This window comes from Homo sapiens, chromosome 12 (assembly GCF_000001405.40).
Source record: "Homo sapiens chromosome 12, GRCh38.p14 Primary Assembly".
Lineage (NCBI taxonomy): Eukaryota > Metazoa > Chordata > Mammalia > Primates > Hominidae > Homo > Homo sapiens.
The window spans coordinates 71415271-71429001 of record NC_000012.12 but is presented as its reverse complement, the minus strand read 5'-3'; the positions used below and the strand labels follow the sequence as shown (position 1 = coordinate 71429001).

The 13731-nt window shown below is 38.6% G+C and overlaps 1 annotated feature.

The window, feature by feature from the left end:
- Positions 13213-13262: a silencer, noted in NCBI's record as "silent region_4657". NCBI's record gives its function as "represses an Ori minimal core promoter by ATAC-STARR-seq in GM12878 lymphoblastoid cells {active_cell/tissue: GM12878}" and the evidence as "EXISTENCE:reporter gene assay evidence [ECO:0000049][PMID:35858748]".

Below are 13731 nucleotides of genomic sequence, written 5' to 3'. Positions count from 1 at the left end.
AGGCTAATGTGATATTCATTTAGTATTTTGTTTGGGAGAGATGTTCCTATTTATAATTTTGGAATGTATTTCTGTGTTATTAAGCTGTGGTATAACGGACTATCTCTGGCCAGGATAGAAACCACTCTTTATTCTTTTGACTCTTATATTGCAAGTTCTTAAAATTGACTCTGGTGAAGTGTATTCTGCTACGTGTCTACTTTCTGGGCTTGCTGAACGGATGTTTTCCTAATTCTTTAATCTTTGATAAAAGTCCACAACTAAAAACATTCACATACACCACAGGAATTATTAATAAGCTTAGTTGAAGCATGCCAGGGTAATTTTAGTTAACAGGTAAGTCAATATTTCTTTTACAAGTATAGTGAAATAGTGTTTACACAACTGGTGGGCTATTATGGACTTATTTAACTTGTTTGAAAGAGTATAGAGCCCATTATTTGCCCTGCTCATTTTACATTCATGATATAATCAGGCTTATGTGGAATTTCTTAACTTCCTTTCACCAACAAAATCTAATTAATTGAGAAAGGAGGAGGGGGATTTAAGAATAAAGATCTATTTTCTTTCAGAATTATTTATTTTGCGAGAAAACGTTAGTTCAGCTAATTCATTACTTTGAAATAGCCTATTATGTAAAATCAATCAGATCTGTCCTTGATTTTATCCAACATAAAGGAAACCTTTAAATATATCCACATGTTCACAACGTTCGAAAAGAAAGGACAGTGGTATATGATATTATCAATTGTTTAACTCTGTTTGATCCCCTTGTCTAATTCCATGTATGATAATGAACATGCTCCTACTGGTATGCAGCCTGCTTCCTGAGAACATATGCCCAATCAAACTCACATGTAAACTAGGGGTAGGTTTTCTTTTAAAACCAGGAATAAAATTAATGAGAAAAAAATAACAAAATACTTGAAATTGCATGATCTTCCTGCTCATTTGTGTGCTTTATTTAATTCTGCCAAATATTACCTTCATTTCCAGACGTGGATACTTCCATATGCCCAATGTGATGGATCTTTTTCTGGTCTTGTTAGAACTTCACTTTTAGGATTTTTAACCATCTATCATGTCCATGTGTTCGTACTTAAATGGCAGGGCACAGACAAACTTGGGCTGTGCTCCAAAATGATGAAGTGCTAACAGGTTCCTTTTTTGCAAAGCTGCTTCCCCCAAGTCCTGCAGCTAGAGTATGTATAGACCCAAAATCCTTCATCTGCAGTTTTGAAATCCTAAGAGTTCTGAAAAGGGAAGGTTTTTTTGAAACATATTTGGTGGCATCATTTAAACTGAACTGATGTGAATCTATTTATAAGCTTTCTCTCATGTCATGTAAATATTCATTGAAGTTGCTGCAGAAATATGGATGTGTTTGATTGTAGGGTATTTCCCCAAACCCAACTGAAGATTTTATGTAATATATAGGATATCACTCTTAATATATTCTATTTCTAAAATCCTCCAAAATTCCGAATTCTGTAACATCTGTCACCCTGATGTTTTTGGCTAAGGAACTGTAGATCTGTAAACATCACCCAACCATGGAATACCTATCCAATAAACTATTTTTTGAAGAAAAAGAAGACAGAAAAGCAACAGAACTCATTGTATGAGGAAAAGGTGGAAAGTGTCATTGAGAGGAAAACCTAGAGAGAGAAGAAAGGAAGTAGCCAGCTCAGATGAGATGAGCAGCCATTACTGGGCACAGTCCCCTTTGCAGAGTACAGGTACAGGGCACAGTCCCCTTTGCAGAACTCCCTGTATTCCCACTCTTGACAAACATTTGTGAAAAGGCTAGTATAAAGCATTCTATATGTTAGGGCTTAACTCTCTCAAACGCTAGAGAATAAATACAGTGGGTAAGCATATTTCAGAATAGAGAAAATCAGAAGTGTTGAGCAGAAATAGTAAAAGTAAGGAGATGGAATGATAAAGCTCACCTAGAAGAATAAATTTTGTGGATTTTATCCCAAGGACATGCAGGATTTATAAAGTAAATAAGTAAAAACATGCTATTTCCCAAAATGTTGTATTTTGATAAGTCTGGTGTATTTTAATTGAGTATGTATAGTAGCATTTCACTGCAATTACAATCTCATAAAGCAGGGTAAAACATATTGCATAAACACTGCGGCTCTAGTCAATGAGTCATAGTAAAACACTGTCCAGATTACCGCAATTAAAATTTACAGAAACCTTTTGTCGAGTATTATTATGGTTGTGGATTAACAAAATGACCCTGCTTGCTTTCATTGTTCTTTAATAAGAAATAACATTTTGATTTTAAGTTTCATTGATTTTTTTGCTTGGATTTTAGATGGGCAGTTTGCCAAGATAAATCTCATTGCTGTTTTTAAAAAAGTCTGAATACATTTTTAAAGAGATGATCCCTTTTGTTTTCTTACCAAGCTTTATTTGTTTTGCTCATATCTTTTCTGCTTTTCTCACTCATATTTTCTCCCTATTTTCCCCTCAGGATTGCTGGAAATGGGTGGGATGGGGTGAGGGTCATTGGCTGAGTCACCTAGTAGAAGGGGAGTATGGCATAATAGCACAATATAGCCTTTGGATTCCCACAAGCCAGGATTCAAATCTCTACTCAGTCATTTATAAGCTATGAGACTTGGAGAAACTTATCTCTGAGTTTCTTCATCTGCAAGATGAGGATAATTGCACCAAGTCTGTAGAACTGTTAGTAGAATGAAAGCTAATGTGTGTTAAAGGGCTTCGCATGAAGTAACACTTACTATATAACAGCAATAAGGGACTTTTCATTCTTTTCCTTAGGGGTTTTCCCCTTAAGAGAGTCTTTACAACTCTACAGAAATGGGAGGACAGAAACACACAAATAGATCCTTTCTCCTTCCTCTCTTCCTTCCTTGCTTCCTTTCTTCTTTCCTAATGATATGAGTACTTTGAACATTTATCATGATTTCATGAAAGCAGAGTATGTCACAAAATTTTGGGGCCAACTCTGTTGGGAACATTTGTTAGTGAAACATTCTTACTGAGTTACATTTAACAGGCCACAGTTTCCAGTTTTAGTGAAGCTTCAGTTCCCAATCTTAACCAGAATGCGTTTATTCAAAGACATTGATTGCCCATCCAAATAGATGCCAAGCACTGGGAATGTGGGAATAAATACATATGGAACCTGCTTTCAAACAGTTCACTGCTGAGTTGAGAAGAGACATGGAAAACAAATAATTAAAATGTTGCACAATAACCAGGATGAAAACATATGCTGTTAGGGAAAGAAGGAGGTGAAACTAACTCTGCTTCAGAGAAAGGTTTCATAGAAAAGGTGTTGTTTAGAGTGAGTTCCCGAAAGATCAGCAGGAGTTTGTTAAGTGACGAGGAATAGTAGTGCATTCCTAGGAGTTGGATGGAGACAAAATATAATTTTTAGATAATGATTAATTAGCATGGCTGTAGCTTAGGGTAAACATGTGTGAGTCTTGGGAGACTGGCATAAGGTGAACCTGAAAAGATATGCTAAGGCAGAGGGGTTGTTAACATGGTGCTGTATGCTGTGTTATTAAGCTTGGACTTGGTTCTGGGTGCAACAGGAGGCCAGGGCATCTTTACGCAGGGGAGTGGCATAGTCTTATTTTATCTCTGAGAAAGTAGAACTCTGGTGTCAGTATGGGGAAACTGTGGGAGAAGTCAGAAATGAGTGGTAGAAGCAGGAGTCAGGATGTATTACTGATTTGATCAAGAGGTGAGAAATGCTATAATGTATGTATAATGTATAATGTATAATGCTATATGTAACAGTAGACATGAGAGGAGGCATGTGTTAGAATTTGGAGATATTTCAGGGGCAGAATTGGCAGGATTTGGTGATTGTGGTACACACAGGGCACAGAATGGCTGTAATGTCTCCATTGCCTTTAGCCTGGGAGGTTGGGTAGGCTGTGACTATTTCCTGCAAAATAATTACCATTTCTGAGTCCTTATTTTTGCCAGGTACTATGCTAAGTACCTTAAATACATTTTTCCCCATTTATTTCTCTCAAGAACCCTGTAGGATAAATATAATCATCCTCTTTTTGTAAAGAGAAAACAAGGCTCAGAGAAATCAAATAACTTTCCAAAGTCACTCTGCCAATAAATGGCACAGTTAACATTGAATGTGTGGTCTCTACTTGACTCAAGCCACGTTTTTAAGACCTGGAAGGAGAGCAGGCTTTGAAAAGAAGACAATAAATCTAGCTTTGGACATGTCAAGTTTGCAGTTGAGAAGAGTTTCTAAAATAATGAAGGGTGCTGACTATAACATGTACCTTTGCAGCTTCAAATCTTTCTTGACACGGATTTTTGGATTTGAGCCAGACATAAATTCTTGATCACAGACTTGATGCAATTGTCTCTATATTCGTGTTTTTCTCTCCCAGTGGTAGACCAGTTTTGGCTCTAAAAACCCAAAACTCAGGAGCTGTGTCAGTATCCTAACAACTTGTGATGGCATATATTTTTGGCAGGTGATTTCCTAGGTTCTTTATTCTACTTAAGCTTTTTCCAGTCACATTATGACTGAAATTTGATGCATTTTGAGGCAGAAATGTCTTTTTTCCTTTTTTTGGATGCTACTGAGAGCCATATATCACACTAGTATTTTTAAAATGTTTCCTTTTATAAAAACCTTTTATAAACTGGCTTTTTCTTATTTTTTGTATCATCAGATCATAGTATAGTCTCTGAAGGTATTCTATAAATGTTTGTTTGATGGGTCAGTTACAAGAGGAATACAAGTGAGTTGTAGAAACATTGGAAAGCAAGCAACCATAGAACAAAATGAAAATCATCTGCAATCCACCACTCGAAGATAATTACTGTTAATATTTTTCTTCTGTTTTCTTTCAATCTTTTTAGTGTCTTATATATTTTTACCTAATTGTGATAATTTTTCACTTATAATGGGAAAAATATTTTCCCTTATCATCAAATGTCTTTGTAAACACCAGTTTTTATGTCTTCATGAGCTTTTATTCTCCCCATACTATATATAAGGAAGTTGATGCTCAGAGAACTTGAGGAAATTGAGGCTCAGAGAACTTGAAAGACATTCCTAAATATATAGTAAATTTGGCTCCGTCCTATACATTATGTGACTTCTCAATCTGGCAAGGAAGATTCAAAGTTTAGGCAAATAACCATACTAACGTGTAGCATATGAGAAACTCATTAGGAACGGTTCAAAGAGTTATAGGAGTTTGGAGGCAAGGGGAAGTACATCCTACTGATGGAATCAGGGAAGGTTTTATGGAGCAGGCTGCATCCGAGATGGGTCTTAAATGATTGGCAACAATTTGACATTGGAGAAAGACATTTAGGAGCAGGGGACAGTGTGAGCAAGAGGATGATGGCAGAAAAGCTTAGAATCCATTGAAAATTTTAACTAATACAATGTGGTTAACTCTTGGGCTTTTGGAGAAGATTGCATTAAGTTCACATGCTTTGTAGATAAATGGGAAACTTGATTAAAACTATGTCTTAGAAGGATTCCTCTGGCAGCAGGGTCTGGAACTGATTGAAGGGAGAAAGTGACCAAGAAACCACTGATTTTGCACATACTTACGGATTCAGCACATGCTTCTAGCTGGCTATGCCAGCTAGAAGAATACAATAATGAAAATTTCCAAGTGGGCTGGTTAGAAGAAAGGTGGTGCTATTAAAAATGAGGATATTTCGGGAAGAAGAGTCGAGATTTGTGTGTTGAGTTTGAGTGGTTTGGACTCAGCTGGGTATTCAGGTGCATTAGAGAGAGGGCAAGGATAGATGTCCTTGCACTTGGGAATTTTGGTTAGTGAAGTGGTCATGATTGACATTGATATTAAGAGGTGATGGATGTAGTGTGAGAACTGATGAAATATCAGAGGAAGAGGTTATAGATAAATATCCAACATTTATTGAGCACTAAATATGTATCAGGCACTGTTTGAAGAACTTTACAAGTATTAGCTCATTTAATCCTCACAACCCCATGAGTTAGGTATTATTAACATCTACATTTTATAGATACCCTATCTTATACATGAGGAAAATGAGGCCTAAGATCACACAGCTAGAGAGTTTTAAATTTGGGATTTAACCTCAAGCAGGCTGACTCTAAACGCATGTTGATAAACCCTATTTTATGCTGCTTCCCTGACAGAAGAGAGAAAGAAGACCAACCTGAGAAATATCAATAATAAGGGGACAGACCAGGAAGAGGAGTTTGCAGGACCAAAGAGGAGTAGTTACAAAAGGGTATTAGAAAGAAGCCCAGGAAGGCTGTGGCCAGGAGGACAGGTAGATGGTGTCAAATACTACAGGTATTTTCTCAGTTGAAAGGTATATCAATGTTCGTATGAAGCAGGCATGTAACAACATAGTGTCAAATTAAGCACATGCCTGAGGGAATAGTTACAAATGACTTATAATTATTGTTTCAGTAGTTTAATTAATAAACTCCTAATTCTAAAACCACCTTCCTCAAGACTATTCTCTTAATGCAATTCGTTAACAATCTATTGACCAGTACTACAGATTTAAACTATGCTAGGCACAGAGAGTGCTAGAAAAGGGACATTTATTTATTCATTGGCCAAATATTTATTGAGAACTTACTCTGGGCTAGGCACTGTGTTTCATGCTGAAGATATACTGACTAGGAAAATAGAAATGGTTCCTGACCTCCTGGAGCTTTTGGTCTAGTGGGAGTGGCAGGCCTTGATAACACACACACACACACACACACTTGCACACAAACACACAGTATATATTTACCAACTGTACTAAGTTTCACGAATGATCTTTTTTGGAAACAAAATTTACCAATGAGAAAATAAAGTGGCATGCACAAATGAGCCACATTCCTTAGAATGGTTTTTTTTCTACTTATTTGTTTAGCAATTCTTCTTTTCATAGATAGATAAAGTTATTCTGAACACTAATAAAATTATTATCTTTCTCAATTAGTGGGATGCAGTTTTACTTTTTATCTGCCTTTTTTCTTTAGGCATTTTTCTCTCCATTTTTCCTTTACTTGTGAGGTTGTATAATTGTGGCAACAGCTTGTTGGTTGAGGTTTATTCTTGTGCAAGCAAAGAAAATGGATCAAGAGATCATATTGATAAATGGGGGTGGGGCCCATCATGGGTTTTGGCATCTCAATTTCAAGGCTGCTTTGAGTGTCATAGAAGGTGTGTGTCATCTCCAACATATAGGCAGGTTGCTATATTAATTAGCTCGACTTCCTTAAATATTTATTAAGTTGAAGACTTTTCAGAGCAAAATCAATGTTTTCCATAGAGTGTTAAAAAAAAAAAACCTCTTGAGTGAGCACTCCAGTGCCAATTCACTGTGGACATTCAATTGGTAACAACACAAACGTGGATTTCTAATTTTTGTTTATACTGTTGATTTGTCCATATATGAAATTGATGGCAGTGGTGGCCCATTTGGAGCAGCCACTGTGGGGATGCCAGCTGCAGCAGGGGACAGTGTGGCTGAGGCTGTGCACTCCACAGAGCTGGCAGGGGCTGGGAACAGGTGGGAGCCTGCCCGTTAACAAGTTAAAGTGGTGGGAGCCCTGCGTTCCTGGGCACATCTGAGGCAACCAGCTGCAGCTCTGGACCTGGTCATCTCTGAACTCTCAGGGGCCTGGGAAGCCCCCCTGCCCCTGTAGGCTTGGAAGTGCCTGCTCCCACTCTGTGGCCTCTCCCCACTCCTGGTGCCTGCTCTGATTTCTGGGCAAAGTTGAAGCCGAGCCTGGGTGCTGTCATGACCCAGCCAGGTGTGCACATGCTTGGGTGGCACTGACACACCAGCCCCCTGCCACCTTGGCCCCCGTTTGAAGATTTGGGCAACAATGAGCTCAGGGAGGGATGTCAGGGCAACTGAGAACTGCTCTGCATGGGCCTGCAGGTGCCCCTTGTTGTGAGCAGCCTGGGCATGGTGGACAGCATGTTAATGAGGGCAGGCAGACATCTGGACAGAAAAGGGTGGGTCCCTAGTGAAACTGCACCTTCAAGCCAGTGACTGCCTGAAGCCTGGGGCTGGGCTGCTGGTTCTTCTGGGCCTGCTCATGGCCACCCATGGACCAATCAGCATGTACTTCCTCCCTTCTGAGCCCATAAAAACCCTAGACTCAGCTAGACTTGAATAGATGTCAAGATGACTTGCCTATGGAAAGGAGCTACCCACTGTGGGTGTCCTGAGAGCTGTTCCATTGCTCAGTGATGCTCCTCTCTGCCTTCCTTGCCCTCCAGTTGTCTGTGTACCTTGTTCTTTCTGGACATGGGACAAGAACTCAGGACCTACTGAATGACAGGACTGAAATAGCTATAACACAACAGGCCTGAAAAACACCCCCACATGCCTCTTGCCATATTGTGGGTGATGAGAAAAACAGAAGAACTATGGCCTTTTGGGGAACCCAGACCTAGGGGCTCCCTGAGCCAGAGCTGTGACACCCTCTTTGGGGCTCTGCAGTTCCTGGCATCTCCAAGCTTCTGGGTGCCATGGTGTTCCACCCATCCAGACACGAGTGACTGCAGTGGATGTGTGCAGTACATCTCTTCCAGCCACAGCCTTGCACAGAGCCAGCACCTGTGCTGGTGCCTGGAGCTGCCCGCCCCACTGCAACAGCCAGTGTGACTGGCTGTGTGCAGTGGCCAGACCCTGTGTTCGCTTGCCCACACACCTCTCACTGCTCTGTGCCTGGCTTACCTTTAGCAAGTATGGGATCTGGGCCAGTATTTTTGTTAAAAAAATTTTTAGAGACTGGGTCTCACTATGTTTCTCAGGCTGGACTCAAACTCCTCGGCTCAAGCGATCCACCTCAGCCTTCTGAGTAGCTGGGACTACAGGTGGGTGCCACTGCACCTGGCTTGGGACCAACTATTATGTGTGCTATACTAGATTTTGTTTCACAGGCACATTAAAATATTGTTTAAGTTTAAAATTGAACTACTTAAGTGCCAGAAGGCTTAAGGCTTTAACAATGTTTAGGAGGTCAATTAACATCTATTTTTGGCTTTCCTTCGTCATTGCCACTTATTCAACAAGTAGTTATTGAGTGCCTGCTATGGCAAGATCCTCTTGGTTCTGGAGGAATAGCAAGCAAACAAAAACAAATAAAAATCCCTGCCCTTTACATTCTAGAGTAAGTTTACATTCTAGAGAGGCAGACAATAAATAGAATAAAATTAATAAAATATAACATATTCTAAAATCTAAAATATATAGAATGTCAGGTGGTAATTAAAAAAAGCAGTGATGGGAAGGTAAGAAGTGTGAGGTCAGGGAGGGTGAATTTCTGTTTTAAGTAGAATGGCCAGGGGAGGGCTCACTAAGATGTGATGTCAGATAAAAGACCTAAAGAAAATCAGAGAGTGGGCTGTGCAGGCATCCATGGGGAGGAGCTTTCCAGACAGAAGAAACAGCAAATAGAAAGACCCTGAGCTGGCTGGAGCAGGCTGTCATGTCTGATGGGCAGTTGGAGGCCAGTGTGGCTGGAGTGCACTGAAAAGGAAGGAGGACTTCAGGATGGTCTCTGACTGGCTATTGCAAGGACTTTGGATTTCACTTTGAGTGTGATGGAGAGTCACTGGAGGGTTTGAGCAGAAGAGTGATGCAATCTAATTTATACTTAAAGGAATGTTTTTGTCTGTTGGGTGGGGAAGAGATGAGTTATGAAGAGGGGTGGAGGAAAAGGCAAGGATATCTTAGTCCAGGTGGTGGCTTGAACTAGGGTGATAACGGTGGAAGTGAAACCAGCGGCTGGATTAGGGGCTGGATTTGGGATATGTCCTGAAAATAGATTGGACAGAATTTGCTGATGAATTGGATTTGAAGTTTGTGACAGGGAGGGAATAATCAAGGAAGAATTCAAGGTTTTTGTTGTGATCAACAGGAAGGATGAAGCTGTCGTTAACTGAGATGTGGAAGACTGTGGGAAGAAAAAGTTTGGAAGAAAAGAAAAGGAGGCAGGAATTGAATGTGTTAATTTAGAGAGTATATTATGTCTGAATGCAAACAATATGTAATTGAATATATATGTCTGGTGTTCAGAGGAGGACTCTAGGATGGATATTAAAATTTGGTAATTGTCAGAATGTACATAGTATTAAAAGCCACAATACTTGTTGAGATCACTAATGGGATGGGTAGAGGTAGAATAGGGAAGAGGTCCAGGTACTGAACCTGAAGTGCTCTGAAAGCTAGCCTATAAAAGGTCAACTGCAGAGGCTGATGCACAGAATCATTACCAGCAAAGATTAGGGAGAAGTGGCCAGTAAGAGTAGAGGAAAATTAGAAGACAGCAGTGTCTGGTAGCTATGAAAGAAACTATCTCAAGCGACAAGGAGTGATCAATAGTAAACTATACTCATAATTAATTTAAAATGAAGAGGGAGAACGTCTATAAGGTTTAGCATTGTGGAGGTCTTTAATAACCCTTAGAAAGAGTAATTTTTTTTTTTGAGACAAGGTCTTGCTCTGTCACCCAGACTGGAGTGCAGTGGCATGATCGTGGCTCACTGCAACCTCAACCTTCTGGGCTCAAGAGATCCTCCCACTCAGCCTCCCACGTATCTGGGACTACAGGTGCATGCCACTACACTTGGTTAATTGTGATGGAGACTGGGTCTACTTGGAATGAATTCACTTATTCTATTTGAAAATATCTGAAATAAACACCCCAAAATATTCTCTAAGCAAAAAACCTAGAACATACTTTCAGATATTGAGACAACAACAATAATATCAATGACAACTGACATTTATTCAGTACCTACTTGTGTCAGGGACTGTGTTAAAGTGCTTTACAAGTACAATTTTATTTGACTTTTCACAATCAACCTATGAATTAGGTTCAATTATCTCCATTTCATAAATGAGGAAGTTGACGTTTATAGACTTTTAAGTGTGTAAAGTCACATAATGAGTAAGTGATGGAACTGAGATACTGGAAATATTTTCATAATGCTTTTACACTGAATGATTATTTTGTTTCCAGGGTATATTGATATGCCTTTGGAAATAAGTAGTCTCATTCTTTAGAACCTAAGGTGGTATTTTTTACATTCCATTTATTTCATGTCCCTTTATTTTCCTGATATCTAGCACTTCTACAATAATGAAAAGTTATAACTAGTTCCTTTATAGTTGTTTGTATGGTACTTTTTTGATGCAGAGAACTACCTAACATATTTCAATTTATTAAATTAGATTAATATGTTCAATCAAGTTAAATGTTATTAAGGAAAATGCTATTTTCTAGAATGATTTCTATTTTTAATAGAAATTTATTTTGAGGAACTTGATTACATTTTTGGAAGTATATTCTTAAAATAATTACATCGAAAAGCCATTGAACATTTAACATACTCATTTCATGTTCATAACCTTTCTGTGTGGTGGACATTATTATTATCTACATTTTACACACAGGGACCTGGAGGTTTAAAGAAGTTGAGTAAATTGCCTGAAGTCACAGAGCTTGTAAGTGGTTGAGTAAGGATTGACCCCATGTCCTCTGAAATTACATTCCCTGCTTTTTCCACTACAACATGCATGTAAATTTAGTTAATTCCAATGCTCAGCTTGAAATATTATATCTTTACTCATCTGTGTTAAATTGATTACCCTCATTTGATGCACCATTGTAACTCTAACAGCTGGAGCAACAGGGGCCCACAGTTTTAGGAAAGCACGTATATATTTTTAAATTAGGCGTGTTTTCTCAGGGAAGCATGCGAGTAGTTTGTTATTATTTTTCTTTTTTAGGATTGATTCTACATAACCTGAGAGAGGGAAAAGCAGAATTACTGTTGCTTGGCTATGCTCTTCATAGTTGCTGATCCTTTTTTGAGGATGTAGCTAGGAGTGGTGTTAGCAGGGAAATGGAATGAACACAGACTGTGCCATGAATTCTGGAGCCTGCCCTGAAATAGGCTGGGGACTGTGTCATTGATTTTCTAGAATGACTTCCACAATTTCCCAACCCTCCTGAATCTCACATTCAATTCACAAAAAATTGTTGATTTCCTTACATTAGCATGCCCTTTTCACATTTACTTTTGAGCCTCTTTGATCAAGCTTCTACTCTAGGGCCAGAATGGTTTATTAGACATGCAACAATGATAACCCACGTATGGGTTCAAAATTCTTCAGTGGCTCCACATTACATTTAATATAGAATATCAATCCCTTAACATGGCCTACAGGGTCTGACCTGGTCTGGCCCTCTCCCTACTCTTCAACCTCAGCCAGTACCATTTTTCATCACAGGCCCCAGGCTTTCTTGAAGTTCCTTTAGTCTTTTCCTTCCTCAAGGCTCACGGAATACTATTTCCCCTGCCTAGAATATTATCTTCTCCATTCTTAGGGGTAAGTGCTTCCTCCTCAAAGACCTTCCCTGACCACCCAATCTAAATTAGGTCCCCCCAGCCCCTGTTATAATTTCTCTAATTATTTTCTGCCTTTCCTTCAAAGTGTTTATTACAATTTGGTGTTCCATTTTATTCGTATGTTTATTCTATATCAAGACCCCTCCCCATATAAATGTAAGTCACACAAGGGCACTTTCTATATCTGCTTTTTTTCACCACTGCCTGGTAACATAAAAGACATTCAATAACATTTCTAGAATAAATGAATGCCCTTTCATAAGCTGTTTTATCAACCTGGGATATAACAAAAATAGCCAATGTTTATTTTGCAGTAATATCCTAAGCACTGTAATGACATTACAAATTGGTTGATCCTGGAGCAGGGGTAAAGCTGGGAGATGCATGTATGTAATGATTAGGTTTCATGGGAGGATGTAAATTTTTTGTTTTGCTGCATTTTATTGACTGTCTAAAAAGCAAGTGATAAGGAAAGAGAACAAAAGGATTTGGTCAAATGTCGAATTCTATCACATTATATCTAGATATTCTTATGGAGAATATTGTGCAATCAAGAAGCTGTGATGTATAAGTAGATCAATATGAACTTGTTTTAAAGAGACGAATAGTCACATCAACTTTTCAATCCTTTTGATAAGTAGAAATAAGTAGGGACAAACTCAACTGTCCCTAATTTTCTTTAAATTTGAAAATAGTCTTTTACTGTCTTCACAGGATGCGTGATTGGGAGCAGAGATTGGTTAACACTATCATTTTAGCTCCCTCTGCTGGTAGTGAATGATGCGTTTAGCAGAGGGCTGACGAAAAGTGCAAATGTTGCTAAAGATAGGGATGAAACACCTTTGCTGTTGTTGCTAGTCTCCTCTTGGTCAAGGTAGGAAGCAAACATGCTGTTTTTAAAGCAATTTTTAACAGTCTTATTGATATATACTTTATATACAATAAGATTCACTTGTTTAAAGTGTACAATTAGTTTTTACTGTGTTTACAGAGTTGCACAACCATCACCATAATCTAATTTTAGAACATTTTTCATCGCCCCAAAAGAAATCTTCTATCCATTGGCTACAGCTCTCTTTCTTTTACCCTACCTCCTCTGCCACTAGCTCCTGGAAACCACTAAATTACTTTCTGTCTCCATAGACTTAACTAATTTGGACTCATTTGATAAATGGGTTCATACAATGTATGTTTATTTGTGTCTGCCTATTTCACTTAGCATACTGTTTCTAAGGTTTATTCGTGTTGTGGATCAGTATTTCATTAGTTTTTATTGACAAATAGTATTCAATTATATGGACATACCACATTTTGTTAATCT